We start from the raw sequence: 25,663 nt of genomic DNA, 5'->3' as shown, positions 1-25,663 counted from the left end.
TCCTCACTCCAATGGTGCCAGCTGGCTCTCGGGCCAGATAGGAAGGCTGTGCCCAGGCACACCATCATTCCAGATCCCAGGAGAGTTGCCAGGAATTGGGCTGCTGGGTTTTCTCATCACAGCTGAGGCCCTTCACTGGGGCATCTGGGAGGTACAGAGAACTTGGGCTACTTTCTTTTCTTTTCTTCTTCTTCTTCTTCTTCTTCTTTTGTAGTCCATTTTATTAATTTTCCTCCAGCTTTATTAAGGTATAATTGACAAAGATGAGCCACTGTCATTTTGAGGGGTGGTGGTTGTTCCCAAGGTATTAAAAATGCAGAAATGCCAGCCAGGCCCAGTGGCTCATGCCTGTAATCCCAGTACTTTGGGAGGCCAAGGCAGGTGGATCACTTGAGGGCAGGAGTTCAAGACCAGCCTGGCCAACATGGTAAAAACCTGTCTCTGCTAAAAATATATATATATATATAAATTAGCCGGGCCTGGTGGTGCACGCCTGTAATCCCCACTACTCAGGAGGCTTAGGCAGGAGAATCGCTTGAACCCCGGAGGCAGAGAGCCAAGATTGTGCCACCGCACTCCAGCCTGGGCGAGCGAGCAAGACTGTCCCATGAAAAAAAAAAAAAGCAGAAATGCCAAAACAAGTTAAAATGTTACAGTATATTTTTAAGAAATGTTACATTTTAAAAATGAATGCTTAGAAACACATCCCAGGGGCATATGGATAGAACTTTATACTAGTTTGCTAGGGCTGCCATAACAAACTACTGCAGGACCAGTGGCTTAAACAGACATTTATTGTCTTGCAGTCCTGGAGGCTGGAAGTCAGGGATCAAGGTGTTGGCAGGGTTGGTTTCTGAGGCCTGTCTCCTTGGCTTGCAGATGCCATCTTCTCCTTGTGTGTTCATGTGGTCTTCTCTCTGTGTGTGTCTGTGCCAATTTTCCTCTTCTTATAGAGACACCCTTATTGGATTAAGACCTACCCTCACAACCTCTTTTTAACTGACTGACGTCTTAACCCTATCCTCCAAATTCAGTCAGATTCTGAGTTGCTGGGGGTTAGGACTTCAACATATGAATTTTGGAGGGACACAACTTGGCCCATAACAAACATCAGTTGGAAATAACATCAAAAGTCTAAAAGTCCTTTCTTGAACGTAAAGCCCAGGCCCAGCAGCCTTCTTGCCCCTACCTCTGTCTATGTCCTGGACTCTTAAGCCATCTAGCTAGGCAGCAGGAGGTATCTGATTTTTCCTGTTTGTGTGTTGTCTTAGTCTGTCTGGGCTGCTAAAACAAAAATACCATACACTGGTGTCTTAGAAACAACAGAAATTTATTTCTCACAGTTCTGGAGTCTGGGAAGTCCAAGATCAAGGTGCAGGAAGATTCAGTGTCTGGCCAGGCCCAGTTTCTGGTTCATAGATGGAACCTTCTTGCTGTGTCCTATCATGGTAGAGTGGGTGAGCTAGCTCTCTGTGGTCACTAAATCCTAATCATGACGGCTCTGCCCTCATGACTGAATTACCCTTCAAAATTCCCACCTCCTTATGCCATCACTTTGGGGTTTAGGATTTCAACTCATGAATTTTAAGGGGACACAAATATTTAGTCCATTGTATGTGTGGGGTGGGTCAGGAAGAAAGGTCCTCTCTCCCTCTTGCCCTACTGGCTGCTTCTTGCCCTCTGAATTCATCTCCACTTTGCCCTCATGTGGATCCCAGCAGCTAGCTTCCCTTTTGGTAGGAATGTTTGAGGTTGTGGCTTCAGCTGATGCTCATGGCTGGGCACAGTCTCCCAGGGACCAGGATTCTGTTGCCCCTGTGGTTGGGGCCTGCATGAAGAAGCCCTGCCCAATGTGGCATCTTCTGTCCCTGAAGATGTTCCTCAAATCTAGAAAAACATCCTTGAGGAATTATTCAGTAATCACAAAGTATAAAACCTCCCAGTGTTTACCTCTGCCTGGGAACCTGCCCTTTTAGATGAGGAAATTCTGGCCGGGTGTGGTGGCTCATACCTGTAATCCCAGCACTTTGGGAGGCAGAGGTGGGCGGATCACCTGAGGTCAGGAGTTCAAGGCCAGCCTGGCCAACATGGTAAAACCCTGTCTCTACTAAAAATACAAAAATTAGCCGGCCTGGTGGTGGGTGCCTGTAATCCCAGCTACTTGGGAGGCTGAGGTAGGAGAATCACTTGAACCCAGGAGGTGGAGGTTGCAGTAAGTCGAGATGGCACCAATGCACTCCAGTCTGGCGACAAGAGTAAGACTCCATCTCAAAAATAAATAAATAGATAGATAGATAGATAAATAGATAGATAGATAGATGAATGAGGAAATTCTCCTCTTTCAAGTCTTCCTTTCTCCCCAAAGCCACTGTTGTGGGTTGAATTGTGTCCCTCTAAAAAAGGTATGTTGGAGCCCTGTATTAGTTCATTTTCACACTGCTGATAAAGACATACCCCAGACTAGGTTACTTATAAAGAAAAAGAGGTTTAATGGACTCACAGTTCCACGTGGCTGGGGAGGCCTCACAATCTTGGTGGAAGGTGAAAGGAACGTCTTACATGGCAGCAGGCAAGACAGAAAATGTGTGCAGGGGAACTCCCATTTATAAAACCATCGGATCTCATGAGATTTATTCACTATCACGAGAACAGCACAGGAAGGACTCACCCACCCTGATTCAACAACCTCCCACTGGGTTCCTCCCATGACATGTGGGAATTACAGGAGCTACAACTCAAGATGAAATTTGGGTGAGGACACAGCCAAACCATGTCAAGCCCTAACCCCTAGTATGTCAGAGTGTGATTATATTTGAAAACAGGGTCATTATAGAGGTAAAAAAGTTAAAATGAGGTCATTAGGATGGGCCCTCATCCGATATGACTGGTGTCCTTAAAAGGGGGATATGTGGGCGAAAAGACAGACATGCATAGAGGGAAGATGATGTAAAGAGACACAGGGAGAAGATGGACATCCACAAGCCGAGGGAGGCCTGGAGCAGACCCCTCACAACCCTCAGAAGAAACCAGCTCTGCCGCCATCTTGATTTCCTAGGCCAGTTCTCCAGAACTGTAAAGACAGTAACTTTCTGTTGTTTCAGGCAGCCTGAGCAAACTGTTATACCATCTGTGGTAACTCTTCCCCCTTGCACCACTTCTTGTTCACCCAGCTGCTCACTCTTGGGCTCTACACAGATGATAAGCTTCCTGAGAGCAAGGACTAGGATTATATTCTCCTTCTCAATCCCACAGGCCCCTGCATGGTGCAGAAGCTCAATGAAACCATGTTGATTTAAAGGACTTTCCCTCCCTTCCTCTGTTCCCCTTCTTCTCTTAGACTTTCTGGCACCGTTTGTGTGGGAGGCTGAGCCTAATAAATGTGGTCCTTGCTGGTGGGCCTAGGGCACAGCTGTGCATTCACCCAGCTCTTGGGTTCTTGTGACTTAGCCTTTCTTTCAACTTCCAATCTGATGCTGGGAACAATCTTGCTCAGCTGTAGCGCATATCACCATGACCTTGAAATGACATCACAGTGCAAACATAGCAATCCCCATGAAGCTCTAGGGTTCAGGGGAGGGCATCCCAGGGAGGCCTCTCTGGGTGGTGAGGGGGTAGGGAAAGGGCCTTCTGGCTGCTCCCTACGGGAAGCTGCCTCTAGGTCCCAGGGCTTGAGATACCACAGAAGCCCGGCCTTCCCTAGGGGTGGCAATTGGTCTCCCTGCAGATCCTTCTCAGAGGATCTTCCATTTGAACTTTGATGACAACAGCCTCTAAGACTGGGGTTCCCGCCCCTGCTCTGTCCTCAGGTGCAGCCCTCACAGCTGCAAGTGTGCTAGGGATTGCTGAGGGGGAAGGGAAGATATTCAGAGTCCCCAGAGGGATAGACTACTGAGGGAAGACACTATGACTAGAAAGAAGAGGCACCCCGGAGGAAGGGGGTGGGCTTCTGATGCAGGGAGGGGCTGTGAGTTGTTACACAGTGGAGGGGGCCTGTGCCACGCTCTCAGAGGGTGCAGGAAATTGGACAAAGTGTTCTGGGGCTCAGGGGAGGGAGTGATCACATCTATCTGAAGGGTTGGAGAAGCCGCACAGGGGAGGTGACATCTGAATTAGGCCCTGGAGAGTGAACAAAAAACCCATAAGGAAAAGTGGAGGCTTCAGAGCTGCCCGCAGTCCTCCTCACCCGGCACCTGCAGGTATAGCCCATGGCGGGAAGACATTGCTGGCCAAAGAGCCCCATTTCTTCCAACTTAGTTGCTAAGGATGCGGCCTGTGATGGACCAGGTGCCAAGGGCATTTTAAAGAACAGAGCATGTCAGGAGAGTGGCAGGAAAACAGGTTTGCAGTATTAACCCCACTTTGCCATTCTCCAACTCCCTGTCCCCCTCCAACTTCCAAGCAGGTGACTTCCTGGCTCATTGCCTCAGCTGTGGAATGTGACAGACAGGAAAGCAGGACTGGACCTGGGATTCAAAAAGCCCAAAGCCACTCCAGAGTGTACAGGACTCCAGATCTAGCCAAAATATTTGGCATATGGGAGGTTTGATGAGAAGGTGATTTCCTTGGTGGTGTGGGGAAGAAGGAAAGCAATGACAGTGCAGAGGTGGGGGTACAGGTCGGAAACAGGGGGCAGATCGTCCTGTTTCCTGCAACCTAGAAAGAGCCCTGGGAGACCCCAGAGAGGAAATGGCTTGTGTGTGTGTTGAGGTAGACGGGACCTTGCCTTCTAGAGGTTCTATCCCAGCATGGTTCAGAACAGAACCAGTTCTTTCCCAAGACAGCCGCAGTAGGGGCAGCAAACCTTCAGCCTTAAAAGGACCATGACCTTGACAGGGCATCTGTCTAGTGAATGGGCTGAGAGGTGAGTGATGGCAGCTGCCCTGCACACCTTCAGGGATGTGCTCACACAGTGGCCTTTGCTGTAGGCAAAACTCTAAAGATACTCTCCCTTCTCCCTGTTTGGTCAATCAAACACAAATTTAGGTTCTGCTGGGAAGGGGCTTTGCAGGTGGAATTAAGGTTACTAATAAGCTGACCTTAAAATAGGGAGGCGACCCAGCACATCCAGGTGGGCCCGATGTAATCAAGCAGAAAAGGAAGGCGGAAGAGTCAGATGCCGCAGAAGGCCGAGTCCATGATCTTCCAAGCGTGAGAAAGATCTGATGCCTCCTGGATGATGTGCAAGGACCAAAGAAGGAACCTAAGGAGCTGAGGGTGACCCTAGCTGCCACCTAGCAAGTTTACCCACAAAGAACTGAACTGGGCCAGCAACCTGAACGAGCTTGGAAGAGGATTCTTTCCCAGAGTCTCCAGCTATAAGCCCAGCACAGCCACCACCTGGTAAGACCCATGTTGCACTTCTACAGAAACTGTGAGAAATAAGTTTGTGTTGTGTTAAGCCATTATATTTGTGATAATTTGTTACAGCAGTGAGAGCAAACTATATAGCCTTTGAATAGTGGTCTGCAGTTGTGTAAGACACAAAGTAAGTGACAATAGGTGGCATCTTCTAGACACCTGTGTGACAAAAGACAATAAAGACCCCATCTCCCAGAGCTCAGTGGGACTTTGACAAGATCCCAGGTTCAGGATGTGGGTAAATTTTAAATCAACAGAGATTATGTTTCTGCCACATTGGCAGGATAGGAATCAAATAGAATTAAACTCTGTGACAGAAAAATTGTTTGTTGGCTGGGTGTGGTGGCTCACACCTGTAATCCCAACACTTTGGGAGGCTGAGGCGGGTGGATCACCTGAGGTCAGGAGTTGGAGACAAGCCTGGCAACATGGTGAAACCTTGTCTCCACTAAAAATACAAAAATTATCCAGGCGTAGTGGTGCACACCTGTAATCCCAGCTACACGGGAGGCTGAGGCACAAGAATTGCTTGAACCCGGGAGGTGGAGATTGCGCCACTGCACTCCAGCCTGGGTGACAGAGCAAGACTCCATCTCAAAAAAAAAAAAAGACAAAGAGAAATGGTTTGTTTTCTGTACACCTGAACTTGTGGCCTAAGATTGGGACCCACTTCAAGAGATCTTACATTAAATGGAGCTGCAATTAAGGCCTCCTAAATGCTGAGAGCTTCTGTGTCCAGGTTAGCGTTCAAAGGACAGGAGCAAGGGGGAGGAAGGCAGAACAGATAAATAGTTGAAGAGGCTCCCAGACAGGTCTTCCCCCCAATACAGCCAGACCCACGGAAGCTTCCACCAGCCCAGACAGGCTTTGCCCTTGTGCTGTCGTGCAAGAGGAGCTCTGGGGCCTGACTGCTGCTGCGTGGGGGAAGAGCCAGCTGTCTGGGGGCTCTCACAAGTACAGTTCTGCTTCCTCTGGCTTCCCACTGTTGGGACTCAGAAAAGAGTACTCTAAAATGAAAGCCTCAGAAGTTAAAAGTTTTTCTCTGCATACCTGCCCTCCTTTCTCTCAGGCGCGTTCTCCCCTAGTCTAGCCTTAGAAACTAGAATCCCTCTTCCCCATAGAAACCAGAACCTCTTTTCCCCAAAGCCAGCCATAAATCCTAAAAATATTACTCTTATTTTCCCTCTGCCTTTCTGTGTAAAAACTGGCCATAAAGAAATGATCCGACTTACCTTGTTTGACTGTAGGTCATAATTCCCCCATTCCCGAGAGGGTCCTGCCCCACACACAGAAGAAAGGGATGCTGTGCAGAGAGGCCAAGAATCTACACAGGCCTCACTGAATCTCCCAGCTCAGTCTATCAGCATTAGATCATACCCTTTTTTTGTCCAGTCGCATTTGTACATAGCTGTTCATACTTCGTTAATCTTAAGCATCAGTATGGCCAATTTCCGCGTTATCTTTGGGTTTTCATTCTGAAGGATCCTGTGTATAAATGTGAAATAAACGTGTATGACTTTTCTCCAGTCAACCTGCCTTTTGCACAACATGTCTCACCGACAGGGCTGACCTTCCTTAAAGGCATCCCCTGGGCTCCTTGCACCAGATAAGAAGGAGCAGGGGTTCCCATGCTACAGCCAGAGCAAGCCTGTGGACAGCCCCTGAGTGAGGTGTGTGACGTGAAGGAGGGCTGAGATCTAGTGGCGGCTCCCAGCACCCTGGTGACTTGGGAGGGCTAATGGACCTCCTAGGGTGACCAAGCATGCCAGGGACTCTCTGAGCTAGGTGCTGGGCTGCATGCAGAAAACTCGGGGTGTGTGGCTCAATGGAGGCTCTCACGGCTGTTTGACGACCTACTTTAGATCCTCTTTGGGGTCCAGAAGGCAGTGAGGCATCGGGGTCACTGGAGGCACCGAGAAGCCTCCAGGGAGAGGTACATAAAGTCCTGTGGCATAAGAGTGCGAGCTCCATGGTCAGGGTACTAGGTCCAAATCCTGGCTTGAATCTCTTTATTAGCTGGGTGAAGCTGGGCATGCTTCTTAACCGCTCTGGGCAGTAGTGTCCTGATTTATAATTGGGGTTATTAAGATGATTTTCTTGTTTGCTTTGTTGTAAGGCTTTAATGAGATAACTCATGAGAAACAATTGGCATGTAGGATGTACACATCTCAGCTATGATAATGCACAACAGGCCTAGAGAGGGAGGTTTTGCATTTGACAGGATGCAAAAATCCTATTGAAAGTGCTCTATGAGTATTTAGAGAAGAAGGTGTGGTTACTAGGAGTCAACAGAGGTTCCTGTGCAGTGGACAGTGGTAGCTCTTGGCTGTATATCATCTAACCCTCATTTTCTAGTAGCATCTATTACTTTTCCTTTTGGGGGACCATACTCCTGGGTTGTGGGGGGAGACAGTGCCCTTTCCTTCTAGACCCAAATGGGCCAGATCCTCCCTTTCCTACCTAGCCATGGGTTGGGCACATGCCTTTGGCTTGGCCAGTTACACTCTCTGTCCTGGAGATTGTCTCTGTTGTCTCTTAGCGGACTCCTATTAGGTAGATATTGGGTCTTCTGGATTGGTCATCTTTTCTCCCATTTTCTATCTCTCTATTTATTTTTGTTCAATTTTCTGGATAGTTAGCCTACTTTATCTTCCAGAGTTTCTGTTGAATTTACTACTTCAGTTGTTATAACTCCATCTCCAATAACTCTATCTTTTTTTTTTTTTTTTTTTTTTGAGATGGGAGTCTTGCTCTGTTTCCCAGGCTGGAGTTCAGTGGCACGATCTCAGCTCACTGCAACCTCTGCCTCCCGGGTTCAAGGAATTCTCCTGCCTCAGCCTCCCAGTAGCTGGGATTACAGGTGTGCACCACCACACCCAGCTAATTTTTGTATTTTTTGTAGAGATGGGATTTCACCATGTTGGCCAGGCTGATCTCGAACTCCTGACCTCACGGGATCCGCCCCACTCAGCCTCCCAAAGTGCTGAGATTACAAGTGTGAGCCACCATGCCAGGCCTTCTTTCATGTTTTCTGATTACACCCCATCCTCTTCTGTTTCTCTTTCGTGGATGCATATCTTTTCATATTTCATAGAGGATATTATTTATAGTGTTTTGTTTCATTTTGGTTTGAGGGATCCTCTGATCCTTTATAGTTTCTCTCTCTTTCCTCTGAGCTGCTTTTGTTCTGATTATTTGGTCTCTCACTTTTTAAAGTGAGGCAATAAAAAGCGAATTGAAAGTTCCCTGGGCATCCCCACCCTATCACCCCACAATTGACAATCATCATCATGTTGATTTCCACCTTCCACATTTTTTCCTAAATGTTATTTTAATGCTTTTCATTATTTTATATGTTCCATTAAGCTAATGACCATATTTGCTTATAATTTCCCAGTTGTTTTTTTGGACATTGTTTTTTTTTTTTTCTGGCTCTTAGAGAAAAGTTTGCTATAAATATCTTTCTACATGTGACTTTTATTTCCATCTAAATTATTTTTTTGGAATAAATTTGAGGAGTAGAATTACCGGGTCAAAAGCTTATGGGTGTTTTCATCAGTCTTTCCTGTGTGTTGCCAAATTTCTAATGGTAGTGTATACAGGTACCATAGCAGCAGCAACAGGAGTACAACCCTCCCAGCACTCTTTTTTTGGAGACAGGGTCTTGCTCTGTTGCCTGGGCTGGAGTGCAGTGGTGTGATCATAGCTCACTGCAGCTTTGGCCTTCCAGGCTTAAGGCATCCTCCCACCTCAGTCTCCTGAGTAGCTGCGACTACAGGCGCACTACCGTGCCTGGCTAATTTTTTGTAGAAATGGGGTTTCATCTTGTTGCCCAGGCTGGTCCTGAACTCCTGAGCTCAGAGATCCACCTGCCTTGGCCTTGCAAAGTGCTGGGATGATAGGTGTCTGCCACTGCACCTGGCCAGCACTTGATTTTTGAGTATTTTCTTTATAGTTGTTTGTTGTTATAAAGGTACAAAATAACACCTTAACCTTATTATTTGAATTTGTCTATCTTTGAGTATTGGTGTGGTTGAACATTCTTTCATCTAGAACTGGGAAAATTGGCCGGGCGCGACGGTTCATGCCTGTAATCCCAGCACTTTGGAAGGCTGAGATGGGTGGATCTCTTGAGGTCAGGAGTTCGAGACCAGCCTGGACAACACGGTGAAACCCCATCTCTACTAAAAATACAAAAATTAGCTGGACGTGGTGGTGCATATCTGTAATCCCAGCTACTTGGGAGGCTAAGGCAGGAAAATCACTTGAACCCAGAAGGCAGAGGTTGCAGTGAGCCAAGATTGTACCATTGCATGCCAGCCTGGGCAACAGAGGAAGACTCTGTCTGAAAAAAATAAAAAAATAGGGAAAATTAAGCTTGGAGAAAGTCTGTTAGAAATAAAAAAGTTCATAAGAGAATTTCCAAATAGATACAAGAGCAACGTTATTTTGTGTTAGCTGTGGTTCTTAACCTGGGGTCCAAGGACTGGGGTAGATTGACTCCCTGAAATAATATGCAGAGTTTTGTGACCATATGCACAGTAGCATGGAAAGGGTCCTTGGCACTCATCACAATTTCACAAGGATCTGGACCTAAAAAGGCTCACTTATAGGATGGAAGATTTCTGCCCCAAGTAGAAAAAAGGCAACAGAGGAAAGCTCTCAAAGGCCACTTTTTGTTTGAAATTGCATTCTGCCACTTGCTAGCTAGCTCTGTGATCTTCAGCTAATTATTTACTTCTCTGTGCTGTAAGTTTCCTTGCCTGTCAGGTCAGGTGGAGTAATAACAATAGCATCTATTTCATAGGATTGTTGTCATGATTAAATGAGTTGACACAGGTTAAGCACATTTCATTTAATTTTTATTTTTAAAGGAGTTGAGGTCTTGTTCTGTGGCCCAGGCTGAAGTAGAGTGGCGCGATCATAGCTCACTGCAGTCTTGAACTCCTGGGCTCAAGGAATCCTCTTGCCTCAGCCTTCCAAGTAGTTGGGACCACAAGTGCACACCACCACACCTGGCTAGTTAAATTACTTTTAATAGAGGCTGGCACATAGCAAATGTTTAATAGATGATGTTTACTAATAAGAATTATTAGTAACTAGAGCCTTCCAACAATAGGATAGGCTACATCATACAGCGGTGAGTTCCCTGTCACTTGAGGTGTTCATGAAGGAGATAACAGCTGTCAGGCAGGCTCTTGAGGGGATCCCTGAGTTGGGAGGGAGGAGGAATCTGGCATTCTGAGTTTCTGTGAATTAAATTTTCCTGTTGGGCATGTGGCAAATGGTGAGACTAGCAGTTCTCAAGAAGCCAACAGGCCTCCAGCAGGAGTGACAGCTGCGCCTGCTAATATGGAAATGTATTTCTGAGCAAGCAGCCTGTTTCAAGAGCATGTTCCTGGCCCATTCTCCTGAGGGTGCAGAAGAATAGGTTTTTTTTTTGTATTTTTTTTTTCTTTTTTTCTTTTGAGACAGAGTCTTGCTCTGTCGCCCAGGCTGGAGGGCAATGGCGTGATCTCGGCTCACCGCAACCTCCGCCTCCCAGGTTCAAGCGTTTCTCCTGCCTCAGCCTCCTGAGTAGCTGGGAATACAGACGCGCACCACCATGCCTGGCTAATTTTTTTAATTTTTAGTAGAGACGAGGTTTCACCATGTTGGCCAAGCTGGTCTGGAACTCCTGACTTTGTGATCTGCCCACCTCAGCCTCCCAAAGTGCTGAGATTACAGGCATGAGCCACTGTGCCCGGCCTGAAGAATAGTTTGAAAAAACCAAATGCAGTTTCTTCACCATTCTGTGCAGAGAGACTAGGAGTGGGGAAATCACCATAATAGAGCAGGGGTTGGGGGCAGGGTGTATGGCGCAGGGGCAGAGTGTGTGCTCCCAGTAGCTTTGCTGACTAACAGATATTTACTGAGCACTTACTGAAGGCTGTGGGTGGGTGTGATTGCAGGTGGTGAGTGGGGTTAAAAATATGAATTAGATCCAGTATCAGTGTCTCTTCATTTTTCTAGTTTCCATTGTCCTTACTGGATTTCTAGGCTATTCTTGGAAGGGCAGTAAAGCTCAGCTGAGTGGCTGAGGCATATGATTGTCTTTGGGTAGTGGGCTCAGAGAAAAGTTGGAAATTTCCTTTTTTAATTGAGATACGGTCTCACTCTGTCACCCAGGCTGGAGTACGGTGGTGCCATCATGGCTCACTGTAGTCTTGAACTACTAGGCTCAAGTGATCATCCCACCTCAGTCTCCCGAGTAGCTGGGACTACAGGTGTCCACCATCACACTCAGCTAAATAATTATTTTTGTAGAGATGGGGTCTCCCTAGGTTGGCCAGGCTGATCTCAAACTCCTGGCCTCAAGTGATCCGCCTTGGCCTCCCAAAGTGCTGGGATTACAGGCGTGAGCCACTGCACCCGGCCCGAAATTTCTATATATATGTCTGTGCGCATGCTTTTGAGCACAGGGTATCTGTTCAAACTTAATATTCCCTAATTTTGGAGTAAGTAAAATCTGAGTGCTGAGGAAGGTTTGCTTCTGGTCAGCTCCCCCAGAAGCAGACCCTGAGATAAGGATGAGTGAACCCTCTTTATTTGGGAGGTGAAGCACCCCTAGACTGGGGAGGGAGGAGAGGGAGGAGAGGGGCCTTACCACTGGGGGCAGCTGGAGCCTAATCATGCGGGAACAATGCAGGGCACATTCCTCAGACTCAGCCCCCACCAGGCGAGGGGCTGAGGCTTTACACACCCGTTCCCTTCATCTCACTGGAGCCCATTCCTTAGGTCTCCTAAATCCCCCGCACCTCCAACATAGGCAGAAAAAGCAGCTTTTGCACCAGAGGAAGCCCAGAAACAAAGAACTGCAGGTGCTGGTGCTTTGACATCCGTGAATGACAAAGTGAAAGAAATGGGCAGGCCACCAAAGCATCTGCCACGGTGTTTCCAGCAGGGCCGAAACTCCCTCGGTGTGAGTGGGGCCGGGTGCGCACAGGGAAGCAAGATGGATCCAAGCGAGCTCTTTGTCAAGCCCAGTCCTCTGTAAAAGGTTGTCGGTCTGTGTACTTCATAGAGGGACTGGCCAAGAAGGCACAGGTGGGGTGAAATCTAGCCCGGGTTCCACCACTAAGCACCATATGGGTTCGAGGCACTCTGTATAGACTTAGGTTTGAACACCACGGGAAGAGGGAGGTGTGAAGTCTGATGGGTGAGAGGAAGGTGAAGAGGAGGGAAGCTGGGGCCTGAGAAGTCCCAGGTCATACCTGCCTTCCACTGTTGAGTCTCTGCCCATCGAAACTGGAAGCGGGATGGCCTCCCAGGAGATCTCTGAAATTTCATCACGTACAGTCTATCAGCATGTTTTCTTTTTTTTCTTTTCTTTTCTTTTCTTTTTTTTTTTTTTGAGATAGAGTCTCACTCTGTCACCCAGGCTAGAGTGCAGTGGTACCATCGTAGCTCACTGCAGCCTCAACCTCCAGGGCTTAAGCTATCCTCCCACCTCAGGCTCCCAAGTAGCTTGGACGACAGGCACATACCATCACATCCAGCTAATTTTTGTATTTTTTGAAGAAATGGAGTTTTACCATGTTGCCCAGGCTGGTCTCAAACTCCTGGGCTCAAGCGATCCACCTGCCTCGACCTCCCAAAGTGCTGGGGTTACAGGCGTGAGCTACGGCAATCCGACACTGCTTTTTCTTTGAGTCCTCTAGACAGAAACCCCCTTTTGGACTTTACCCCTGCCCTGGCCTACCTGAGGCAGTTCTCATAGCAGGAAAATGAGAACCATGAGCCTGTAGCCCCAAAACCTGGGATCTGGCCTCAGTTTTGCTCCTAACTAGCCATGTAACCCTGACAAACCACAGAGGTGACTAGGCCTCAGTTTTTCCAACTGTAAAATGAAAAGGCTGAAACAAAAAGCTTCCTGATGACTCTTCAGATCTAAGATTTGGTGAGTCTATGGTTCTGGATACATGACTTTATAAACACTTCCCCATCCGGAATTTCTTTTGCATTAAGGAGGATTAAATTTAGCTGGAAGTAACAGTAAAGCCCCAAGAACAGATGGAGATTTTTCATGTCCACAAAGTCCAGTGATAGAAATCTTATGGTCTGTTACTGGTATGTTACTCCACGGTGTCAGTTCTATCTTGTTCTCTGTGATGACGCTTCTATTCCCAAGGCTTTCTCATCAACTCAAGACAGCCTCTGGAACTCCAGCTATTATATCCATATTCCAGCCTAGGAGGAGGGATAAGAGGACGAATAAGAAATATTAATGATCTGGCTGGGCGTGGTGACTCACGCTTGTAATCCCAGCACTTTCGGAGGCCGAGGCAGGTAGATCATGAGGTCAAGAGACCGAGACCATCCTGGCCAACATGGTGAAACCTAGCCGGGTGTGGTGGTGCATGCCTGTAATCCCAGCTACTTGGGAGGCTGAGGCAGGAGAATCACTTGAACCCGGGAGGCGGAGGTTGCAGTGAGCTAAGATTGCACCACTGCACCCCAGCCTGGCAACAGAGTGAGACTCCATTTAAAAAAAAAAAAAAAAATTAACCCTCTTTAGAAGAAGATTCCCAGAAGCTACCATGAACTTTTTTGCTTATATGCCACTGATCAGAACTTAGATGGCCACAACTCACCTGGGAAGTATAATCTTTTATTCTGGGCATCTGGGTTCCTGCAAAAATTTGGGACACTATGACTATGAAAGAAGGGTAGAGCTGGTATTGGGGGTGACTGCCTCACCTTAAATTTCTCTAGGTATGAGACTAACCAAATAAACCACTTCAGTTAGACTCTGTCCCTTGTCATGTGTCCAATCTCAGGGGTCTCCACTTTGAGTTTTGCTTCTCCAGCTCTGCAGGTGTTTTGTGGTGATTGGCCTCAACTTTTAGGCCCCTGTTTTCCATTATTTTCTCATTAGTGATGCCTGTGATGACCTAGCACCTCAATTATTCTTTGCACTTTGTAAGCCCAAAGCCTCTTTCAGTTGTTGGAGATAGTTGACTGATGTTTCGGGGTCTCCAAGACCACTACATTTAAGTGGTTTGCTAGAAAGTCTCATCGGAGGCTTTCTAGACAGGGATGTTTAGAACAAGGCTCTCTTTGGACCCAGGTAAAAACTCTCAGGATTAAGTAAGTCTGAGTTCTTCAAATAAACAAATGCCCTCTAAATAGAATCTAGTGATTGGCTGAAGCATAACTCAGCATCTAGTTATTCTTACAGTTATAATTTATTACAGTGAAAGGATACAGGGCAAAATCAGCACCAAAAAAAAAAAAGAAAGAAAAGTGTATGGGGCCAAGTCCAGAGAAAACCAGGGGGGCAAGCTACCAAGAGTCTTCTCCAGGTGGAAGTCACATAATATGTGCTTAATTTCCCCAGCAATGAGTTGTGACAAGGGATATGAAATGTTGGCCACAAGGGAAGCTCATTAGAGACTCAACACCCAGGGTTTTTATTAGGGTCTCGTCTTGTAGGCACCTTCTCCCTACCATGTACCAAAATTCCAACTCCCAGAAAGAAAGCAGATGCTCAGCATAAACCACACTGTACAGTCAAGACATGGTGAACCACTCTTATCAGTTTCAGAAATGGTGGGAACACTCTGGAAAGCCAAGTGCTCAGATACCAGCCAAGGGCCAACTTTGCAATTAGGCCTTTCTAACTAAAGATCAGCAGCCATCTCGGACCTGCTGTTAACTCTTCTCTGCATACCTGGTGAATGTGTGCTGTCGCTATAAAAGAATTTCAGATTTTGGAACCAGAGTCAGTGATGCTGGGTTTGAATCTCTTTCCATCTATTGATAAGGTAGGAATCTTCTACCTGAGACCTCAGCTCCTGTCGGCTGGCCCCCAGTGTACCCCTATCCTCTCCAGGCAGTGGTGACAACCCCTAACAGGTTGTTAGCCAGAGTGTTCCCAGACTGAACTGAGGGTTGGGCTGCTTGTTCTCATGGCCCAGTAATGAGATGCAGATAAACTGGGAAAGAAGAGAGTTTATTTCTGTAACCCGGTACAGGCAGAAGGCCAGGAAAATATCACCAGACCGACTCATATTTACAAAGTTTTCCAGTGCTTATATGAAGCTATATGTCTACATGTAAGTGTGGATTCATCAAAAGACACAAGTGACTGATTCCCTGTAATCCATAACTAAGATCTGAGTCCTGGAGACCTTCCTCCGGAGCCTCAGTAAGTTTATTTAATCTAGATGGGTCCAGGTGCTGGGGGTGATTACCCTTATCTTGCCTCCCGCTGAGTTATGGCGGTCTGGGGAGTTCTTTGCTGACCCCTAATAAAACGTGTTTAATCCTAAACGTGGGTACGAGGAATGTAAGAATTTCTTTGTTATCTTGTCATGCTTCAAGGCCCAGGAAAGGCCTAGGCAAGACTCTTGGTGGCTTTTGTCACATTCCAGCCTTTGTGTAAGGACACTGGCTCTTGCAGCCTTTAATGTTTAACCTAAGCACTCAGTCAGTGCTGAAACAGTTGTCATGGAGGCCTGCCTGTTTAGCTATTCGTGAGACCTGGCCTGCCACAAGAGGGGTTGAGTCCCAACCTTCTCCATATCCCCTGCAGGCCGCACAGGGTACCTGGGAAATCCCAAGTACGGACTCTCATACTCGATCACTTACAGAGTCAGGTAGAAACTTACATGTGTGGACACTGCGGTGCATGGACAACACAGGCCCTTTTCAAGGTTCCTGTGCGTGAATGCAGATGGAGGCTGGAGCTTTTGACTTTTTAAAGAGAAGTTGGAAATCCAGGTTTTTGTCTAAAAACACTCAAATTTTAAATGTTTGCTCAAGTTAGCAAATAGAAAACCCAACAGCAACCACCAAAACACTATATGGCCCAAAGAATTTTTGACTCAAGTAATTTAGGTCATGCAGACTGTCCTGGGCCAGGAAGCTGCCTGCCCCCTGCTCCCTGGAAGTGTTCTTCCTGGCAGGGATGTTTAGGACGAGGCTCTCTTTAGACCCCGCTAAAACCTCTCAGGATTAAGTCTGGGTTCTTACAACAAACAAATGTCTTCTAAACAGAGCGAGAGAATCTAGTGGTTGGCTTTGAGGTGCATTTAATTCTTTTTTTTTTGAGATGGAATCCCCCTCTGCTGCCCAGGCTGGAGTGCAGTGGCACAATCTTACTGCAACCTCTGCATCCAAGGTTCAAGTGATTCTCCTGTCTCAGCTTCCCAAGTAGCTGGGACTACAGGTGCATGCCACCACACGTGGCTAATTTTTGTATTTTTAGTAGAGATGGGTTTTGCCATGTTGCCCAGGCTGGTCTCAAACTCCTAACCTCAAGTGATCTGCCCGCCTCCACCTCCTAAAGTGCTGGGATCACAGGCTTGAGCCACTGCGCCCGGCCAGGTTCATTTAATTCTAAACTACACTATAATTTTGCAGTTATGATCAGTATTATTAATAGTAAGACAAAGGCTTTCAGTCATACAGAGGCCTGGACTAAAATGGACTGGCTTTGTGTACTTTTAAAATCCCTCCCAGTATCTAGCACAGTGCCTGGTATGTAGTAATTGCTCAGTGTGTGTCTGAAGAATGAGTGAATGATGAGTGGATAGATGAATGGCTCTTTGCTTTGCTCATGGAGAAGACTCTATCCTGTGAATTTAGGCTGAGGGACAAGGCAGAAGTCTTTGCGAAGCAATACCTAAAAGAAAGCGAGGCTTCAGTGTTCGTTCAGAGACTAAGTTGCAATAATTCACGTTTAGGTGGTGGTTTCCTTCCTATGTGGTGGTTGTTGCTTTTTGTTGAGATGTTCGTTTTGATAAATAAGAGTTCTTTTTTTTTAGACAGGGTCTTGCTCTGTCACCCAGGCTGAAGGGCAGGGGTGCAATCATAGCTCACTGCAGCCTGTCCACTCAGGCTCAAGTAATCCTCCCATCTCAGCCTCCCAAGTAGCTGGGACTACAGTGCACACCACCATGCCTGACGAATTATTAAAACATTCTCAGTAGAGATAGGTCTCACTATGTTGCCCAGGCTGGTCTCAAATTCCTGAGCTGAGGCGATCCTCCTGCCTCACCTTCCCAAAGTGGTAAGATTTCAGGCATGAGACACCACTCCTGGCCAATAAAATTGTTCTTAAGCCCTGAACTATTAGCATATAACATAGTGCTAGGAGCAGAGTAAGTGTTTAATAAATTGTAGTTGTTGTTATTCTTTTTTTTTTTTTTTTTTTTCCTGAGACACATACTTGCTCTGTTGCCCAGGCTGGAGTGCAGTGGCGCGGTCTCAGCTCACTGCAACCTCCGCTCCCCGGGTTCAAGCGATTCTCCTGCCTCAGCCTCCAGAGTAGCTGGGACTACAGGCGCAAGCCACCGCACCCAGCTAATTTTTGTATTTTTAGTAGGGATGGGGTTTCACCGTGTTGGCCAGGATGGTCTCGGTCTCCGGACCTCGTGATCCGCCCGCCTCGGCCTGCCAAAGTGCTGGGATTACAGGCGTTTGTTATTCTACTTTTAATGAAATTTAGTCATCTTTTAGCTAAAAAAGTGGCTGGTTTAGGGGCTATTTTTAGAGGATTGCTGCCCCCTAGTGGATGATATGAAAGATACAAGAATTTGAGGCCTCTTGGCCTCGCCAATTCCACAAATTTGTACTTTATTGAGAGGTGGAGGGTGAGATAAACATGGCACGGTCCTTATCCTCCAGGAGCCTGTAGAAAACCACAGAGCTACTGGGACTTTGGAGATGTTAGTTCTCAAGCCCTGATCCTCAGAATTCTGGTAGGAGGGGTAGGAGTGGGATGGAATTGTTGTGAGGAAAACTCCTTAAAAATATGCTAATGGAGAAAATTTTTCGTTCAAATCTTCCTTCCATAAATTTTTCTTAGACATTAGATATCTGCTACTGTTTACTCTAATAGGTGCTGCAAAATAAATAACTAGGCCGGGCGCGGTGGCTCACGCCTGTAATCCCAGCACTTTGGGAGGCCGAGATGGGCGGATCACAAGGTCAGGAGATCGAGACCATCCTGGCTAACACGGTGAAACCTCGTCTCTACTAAAAATACAAAAAAAAATAGCCGGGAGTGGTGGCGAGTGCCCGTCGTCCCAGCTACTCGGGAGGCTGAGACAGGAGAATGGTGTGAACCCGGGGGGCGGAGCTTGCAGTGAGCCGAGATCACACCACTGCACTCCAGCCTGGGCGACAGAGCAAGGTTCCGTCTCAAAAATAAATAAATAAATAAATAATGAATGACTAGTAAATACCCCCAATGAGGCAGCAGATGCTCACACTTAGTTGGATGATGCTTGTGAACGCGTATGTTCACAGCAGTGAAATTCTATTGTGCTTTGCAGTATATAAATTTAATGTTACTCAACAAGTTAAACTTAATGAAAGGGAGACTTATGCGCTGAATCACAGCTTGGATGATGGATAAAAGCAAACCTTCCCGCCCGCCCCAGTGTATCCTAAGCTGTGACTTCCTAGGTCTCCTCCTCCAGGCCAGGATGGGAACTGGGCTCAGCCACCCGTCTGCCTGGAGCCATCAGCTCATTGGTTATTTGTGGAATTTCTAGGGTGAGTGATCTGGCCTGGTTTAAACATAGGCATCTTTTAGGAACAAATCTAAACAGTAGGAGGCCACGTGTGGTGGCTCATGCCTGTAATCCCAGCACTTTGGGAGGCTGAGGTGGGAGGATTGCTTGAGCCCAGGAGTGTGAGACCAGCCTGGGTAACATAGTGAGACCTCATTTCTAAAAAAGAATTTTTTAAAATTAGCTATTGAAGTTGTTCACAATATGTTGTGGTAGCACTTTGAGATATTGACCCATTTCCTTTTCATATTTCCCTTTGCCCCAGTCCTCCCATTCTGGCAGAGTGGACTCTGGGCCCACTATTTCAGTGAGGCTGTGGTGGTGTGAGTCAGAGCCAGCTTGCAAACTGTTCTAGTTTTTGTGTACCCAGAGCTAAGCCCATAGTCGAAGTCTGGGGTTTGTGGGAGTGTCTTAGTCCATTTTGTATTGCTATAACAGAATACCATAGATGGGGTGACTTACAAAGAAAGGAAATTTATTTTACATGGGAGGTTGGGAAGTCCAAGATAGATCAAGTGCTGGTATCTGGTAAAGACCTTTGTGCTGTGTCATCCCCTGGTGGAAGATGGAGGGGCAGAGAGTATAAGAGAGCAAGAAATGGAACTCACAGCCTCAAGGTCTTTTATAACTGACATTAATCCATTCACAAGGGCTCTGCCCTCATGAATTAAACACCTCCCACTAGGCCTTAATTTTCAAAAGTGTTGTATTAGGGATTAAGTTTCCAACACATGAACTTCAGGGGGCACATTCAAGTCATAGCAGGGCGTAAGTGAAGGAACACCGGGAATGGATAAGATTTCTTGGCCAAAAGCAAAAGGGAGAATAAGGCTTCCCTCCTCATACTTGAGAAGGATTCTCCCATGCTGAGAGAGAAGGAAGGGAGGCCTGTGGGAGCTTTCTGCAGTCCATAGGTAAGGGGCCAGTAAAGGAATGGCTGCAAAGGTTCACACAGATTTGAGGTCCCCAGTGTGGTCTGTTAGAGTATGGGGGGTGGGTGCTGACTATGGTCACGTTAGAAGGAATCTGTGTGGATAGATGTCCCCCTCCCCAAACACCTTGGTTCTGAGAAGACATCCTAGAGTCTTGATTCTGGAAGAAGAATGGGAACCCCAAGAAAGACTGAGGTTATGTTTCTCTTGAGTTTGGCACAATAAGTTCTCAGAAGAAAAACAAGGTGAAATTTGGGAAATAAAGTTGTTTTTCTCAAAGACCTGAGTTGAAGGCGTGGATGCATGTCCACTCCATAGTTGAGGAGGTAGACAATGTGAGGAAAATACTTTTCGTTCTTTTATGATGAGCCAAGGAAATAAGCTAAAGTTACTTCTCAGTCAGGTGGCGCAGTCAGAATAGGAGAGCTTTCATTCTGGACGTCTCATTCACCCCAGCCCTCCAGATAAGCAGACATGTTTAGGCATCCTTAAAATTTTTGATGTAGTAGGGAGAAGAGAGAGGTGCTCCTTGCCACATCGCCACACCAGGGCCCCAAGTTGGGGCTAGTGCATTCTTCAGGCCATGTGTCCTGGAAAATGAGGGGTTTGAGAGCTGACAGCAGGATAGCTCAGGCCCCCAGCGTTGCTGCAGCCAGCTGCTTGGTGATGCCCTGGAGTCAGGGAGAGCTGAATCAAGGTCCTTAATCCCTCTGTGCGGTGACAGTCCCCAATGTAGAAAAGGGCAGTGTTCTGGGATGATTGTTAGCCCCTTATTTGGAATTGAGGATGCAGTTCTCCAGATCTCCACCCCTCAATAAAAAAAAAATCAGTGCTGACTGTCACTGTGCTGTTTTTTATTGATTTTGTTATTTGCTTATAAGGGTAGCTTTCATACACAGAAAACACAATTTATGGTGACTGGTTTTTAAAATTAATGTTTGATTAAAGTTACAAATTACAAAACCTTAAGTATAGAAGTTCAACTTAAAAATCTTACGACTCTACTACATCTATAAATATACAAATCTACTTATTACTTTATAGCAAAATTTATAATCACTTGTAAGCTTTTGATTGTCTAGTGCCATTTGTAAACTTAATTAAATTTCTTTAAATGCTCTAAATTCCATTTATAAATTTAATATATTTATAACAATATACTATGCTAATTTGTAATACATTATAAACTAAATTTAAATTGCATTTATAATGTTTTATTTTTATGTCACTTGTCTGACAAAACCTGCCTACGCACTTAAATAACCCTTGTAAATTAAAAAAATTTATACAGTGGATTATAAATTATCTGAACCACCTCAGTATCATTTACATATTCAACCAAATTCTCCCTACCTTCTGATTTAAAATCAGAAGTCTGAAATCAAATACTCAACTACAGACAATCCCCAACTTATAATGGTTTGACTTAAGATTTTTTTGACTTTATGATGGGCTTATCAAGATATTAAATGCCATGCTGGCTAACACGGTGAAACCCCATCTTTACTAAAAAAATACAAAAAATTAGCTGGGTGTGGTGGTGGGTGTCTGTGGTCCCAGCTACTCGGGAGGCTGAGGCAGAAGAATGGCGTGAAGCCAGGAGGCGGAGCTTGCAGTGAGCCGAGATCGCACCACTGCACTCCAGCCTGGGCGAGAGAGCAAGACTCCATCTAAAAAAAAAAAAAAAAAAAAAAATATATATATATATATATATATATATATAAAATGCATTTTCACTTATGATATTTCTGACTTGCCGTGGGTTTATCCCAGGATGTAACTACATGGTAAGTAAGGGAGCATCTGTATGCATTTTAAACTAGAATCCCACATTGAATTTATTGCATTCTGTATGCCAAATTCTCTTAGATATTTCAAGTACTTTGGCACATATACAAACATAATTCCCAAGCACCACACAAAAATATTAGGATGATGGGTCCAATTGACTTCAGCATATCTGTACTTAGTTCTACAATTGTAGAATTATTTCTCAGGAATAAAAGACCCTTCTCCACTAAGGAAACTCTACTGCCTCAGGAAATTTGGGGTGCATGTCAATTGTCTGAGGTTATTAACCAACGATTTGGGCGAGGTGGTAAAATGTGGAGCTTGTAGGAGGCATTCCTTATTCCTGAAGGAAAGGTTGTCTTTTACAGAAAACACAATTTATGGTGACTTTGGTTTTAAAATTAGTATCTGATTAAAGTTACAAATTACAAAACCTTAAGTTAAAAAATTCAACTTAAAAATCGTATTACTTTACTATATTCTATAAATATGCAAATCTACTTATTACTCTATAGCAAAATATATAATCACTTTTAGGCTTTTGATTAATGTTTAGTCCCATTTGCAAACTTAATTAAATTTCCTTAAACACTCTAAATCCCATTTATAAATGTAATATATTAATTTATGACATACTATGCTAATTTGTAACATTAAAAACAATATATTTAAATTTCATTTATGCATTTTTTTGTCATTTGATGAAACCTACCTATGTGCTTATATAACTTGTAAATTTAAAAAATGTATATAATGGATGAGAAATTATCTTAATCATCTCAATATTTTCATATTCAACCAAATTCTCCTACCTTCTGACTTAAAATCACAAGTCTAAAATCAAATACTATCTTTGGGAGGCCAAGGCAGGAGGATCATTTGAGCCCAGGAGTTTGAGACCAGCCTGGGCAACACAGTAAGACCCCATCTTTACAAAAAAAAATAGAAAAAATTAGCTGGATATGGTGGTATGAGCCTGTAAGTCTTAGCTACTTGGAAGGCTGAGGTGGAAGGACTATTTGAGCCAGGAGGTTGAGGCTGCAGTGAGCTGAGACTGCACCACTGCACTGCAGCCTGAGCGACAGTGAGATCCTGTCTCAATAATACTAATAATGATGATGATGATAAACCAAATATTCAACTATAAACAACTCCCAACTAATGATGGTTTGACGATTTTTATCAAAACATAACCCTATTTAAATTGAGGAGTATCTGGACTTCATGATGGATGACTTAAACTTTTGACTTGGGTTTATTGGAGTACTAAATGCACTTTGGACTTAAGATATGTTCAACTTACGGATTTATTAGGACATAGCCCCATTTTAAGGTGAAGAGCATCTGTCTGCATTCTATACTGGAATCACAAGTTCAATTTGCATTCTCTAATTATGCCAAATTCTCTTAGATATTTCAAGTACGTTGCCACATATTCAAACATAATTCCCCAACACCACACAAAAATATTAGGATGATGGGTCCAATTTACTTCATCATCTCTATACTTAATTCTATAGTACTAGAATTATTTCTCTGGAATAAAACACCCTCACCCACTGTGGAAACTATACTGCCCCAGGAAATTTGGGGTGAGCGTCTCTGTCTCCTGAGGTTGCCTATGACCAAATTGGGCGGGGCTGTAAGATGCGGAGCTGTGGACACTGCAGGGGGTTTCTTCATGCCACTGAAAGGTTGAGCCACCCTTACAGTCCCGATGTTACTGGGGACCCCAGGCGTGTATCCCAAACAGGGGCACCCCACCTCTCACCCCTAGATTTATGCTGTACAGTATCTAGTTTGCCCACGGCCTCACTTCTGGACCAGATTCTTTTTTGCTGCTTGAGTCTGTTCCCAGTTATCTTCTAGCCTAGGCAATAAAAAATGCCTACAGATGTTTCAATAGCAGGTGGCTGGATTCTATATCTTCCTCATTCTCTTTAACTCTATAGCCTGTCTCCAAAATTAACCTAAGGATAATCACCATAATACTTCTGGAGCCTAGGACTAATAACCTGGATGGGGAGAAGGAAGAGTTTTTTTTTCCTTTTTCTTGAGTGTAGGCAAAAAGGGCTGCACATCCCTTTGTGCACCTGCTCCCATGCCCCCAGGCCTCCTCTGGCTGCCCCCAGTGCCCTCATCCTGCCCCCAGAGATCTCCCACACTTCCCGTGGGATTCTACTCAGCCATGATCTTTTCCCTACAGTGACAATGCCTCTTTTCTTTCCCAGCCACGCCTCCCATTCCCCCACAGTGACAATGCCTCTTTTCTTTCCCAGCCACGCCTCCCATTCCCCCAGTACTTAAAAAAAAAAAAAAAAAGTGAGACAGGATCTTGCTATGTTGCCCATGCTGGACTTGAACTCCTGGGCTCAAGTGATCCTCCCCATTCAGCCTCCCAGGTAGCCAGGACCACAGGTGCACACCACCATGCCCAGCTCCTCAGTCTTCTCGATCTCCATGAAAAGTCAGGAGGTGAATGGGCATTGGAATGAATTCATACTAGTTGGTGAGAGACTGATGGCCACTCAGTCCTAGAGGTGTAAGATTCAAATGAGGCTCTTACTAACCTAATGGAACTGTAATAGGAATTTGAGTCATTGTGCTAAGGTTGAGTATAACAAGTATCCAAGAAGCCCAGGGAGTTACCTGGGGGAGAGCATACCACACCTGCTAGCTCATCCCGTCAGTCTGCAACTGGCTAGCTTCTCTCAAGTGCTTCCTGATTTTCACTTTTTTTTTTTTTTGTTTTTGTTTTTGGAGACACGTCTTGCTCTGTCGCCCAGGCTGGAGTGCAGTGGCACGATCTCAGCTCACTGCAACCTCCGCCTCCCGGGTTCAAGAGATTCTTGTGCTTCAGCCACCTGAGGAGCTGGGAGTATAGGCAGGAGCCACTGCACCTGGCCTAATTTTTGTATTTTTAGTAGAGATGGGGTTTTACCATGTTGGCCAGACTGGTCCCAAACTCCTGACCTCAAGCGATCCTCCCACCTAGGCCTCCCAAAGTGCTAGGATTACAGGTGTGAGCCATAGCACCCCACCCATTTTCACTTTTCTTACTTCATTTCTTATGCAAGAAATTTTCTGAAAGCCTCAAGTTTTCTACATCAGCTTCAAAAATATAAGGAGGGCCAACTAGGAATAGGACAAGGTAGAATAATCACTTGTGTGCTGATAAATATTTAACAACCAGTTCTCTGGAGCCCTGATTTGTAGTGTTTGCCAGTTTCTGTGTAAATACTCCCACCATGGCCAATTTCAAACTACCAACCGTTTAACTGGCTCACAATATTCCTAAAACTTGAATAGTTGGCTCTTATGAGCTGGTAGGAGTTGGCTTCAGCACACTGCTGGTTCTACATGCGTCTTTGTTTCTTGTTTTGCATAAATAACAAGTTTTGTCTTCCCAAAAATGTAATAAGCTCCCTAAGGGATGGAATTATGTTCTGGATCTCCTGTGGGCCCATGGTTTCTAAAATAGTTATAGACACAAAAGATTTAACCAAGAGAGTCTGTTTCCTGTGGACATACTGCGTTCTTGGGCTTGCACAGCCGACAACAGGGAGGCTGCCCCAGGGGTGGGCATGGTGTGGGTTGCTGCCTCCTTTCACCAGCCTCACTCTCATTGCCCAGGCTGGAGTACAGTGGTGCAATCTCTGCTCACTGCAGCCTCTGCCTCCCCAGCTCAAGTGATTCTCCCACTTCAACCTCCCAAATAGCTGGGACTATAGGCAAGTGGCACCACACCTGGCTAATTTTTGTATTTTTAGTAGAGATGGGTTTCGCCACGTTGGCCAGGCTGGTCTTGAACTCCTGGCCTCAAGTGATCTGCCTGCCTTGGCCTCCCAAAGTGCTTGGGACCACAGGCAAGTGCCACCACACCTGGCCCCATTGGAGTTTTTGATGTAGGAGATCAGATGTCCTGGATTACAAGGCCACACACATCTCCAGGCTGTACATGAGAGGAGGATGTCCAGAAATCCTCCAGATCTCATGCATGCACCATTGTATTTTCTCACT

The 25,663-nt window shown here is 45.6% G+C and overlaps 4 annotated features.

The window, feature by feature from the left end:
• Nucleotides 7,475-7,544: a silencer, noted in NCBI's record as "silent region_16135". NCBI's record gives its function as "represses an Ori minimal core promoter by ATAC-STARR-seq in GM12878 lymphoblastoid cells {active_cell/tissue: GM12878}" and the evidence as "EXISTENCE:reporter gene assay evidence [ECO:0000049][PMID:35858748]".
• Nucleotides 7,555-7,684: a silencer, noted in NCBI's record as "silent region_16134". NCBI's record gives its function as "represses an Ori minimal core promoter by ATAC-STARR-seq in GM12878 lymphoblastoid cells {active_cell/tissue: GM12878}" and the evidence as "EXISTENCE:reporter gene assay evidence [ECO:0000049][PMID:35858748]".
• Nucleotides 23,688-23,982: an enhancer, noted in NCBI's record as "tiled region #11102; HepG2 Activating DNase matched - State 9:DNaseU". NCBI's record gives its function as "activates a minimal TATA promoter and a strong SV40 promoter by Sharpr-MPRA in HepG2 cells {active_cell/tissue: HepG2}" and the evidence as "EXISTENCE:reporter gene assay evidence [ECO:0000049][PMID:27701403]".
• Nucleotides 25,415-25,629: a silencer, noted in NCBI's record as "fragment chr5:79380002-79380216 (GRCh37/hg19 assembly coordinates)". NCBI's record gives its function as "represses an EF-1alpha promoter that drives an FKBP-Casp9 reporter gene in an ReSE screen in HepG2 liver carcinoma cells {active_cell/tissue: HepG2}" and the evidence as "EXISTENCE:reporter gene assay evidence [ECO:0000049][PMID:32094911]".

Source organism: Homo sapiens, chromosome 5 (assembly GCF_000001405.40).
Source record: "Homo sapiens chromosome 5, GRCh38.p14 Primary Assembly".
Taxonomy (NCBI): Eukaryota; Metazoa; Chordata; class Mammalia; order Primates; family Hominidae; genus Homo; species Homo sapiens.
This window is presented reverse-complemented; position numbering and strand designations above follow the sequence as displayed.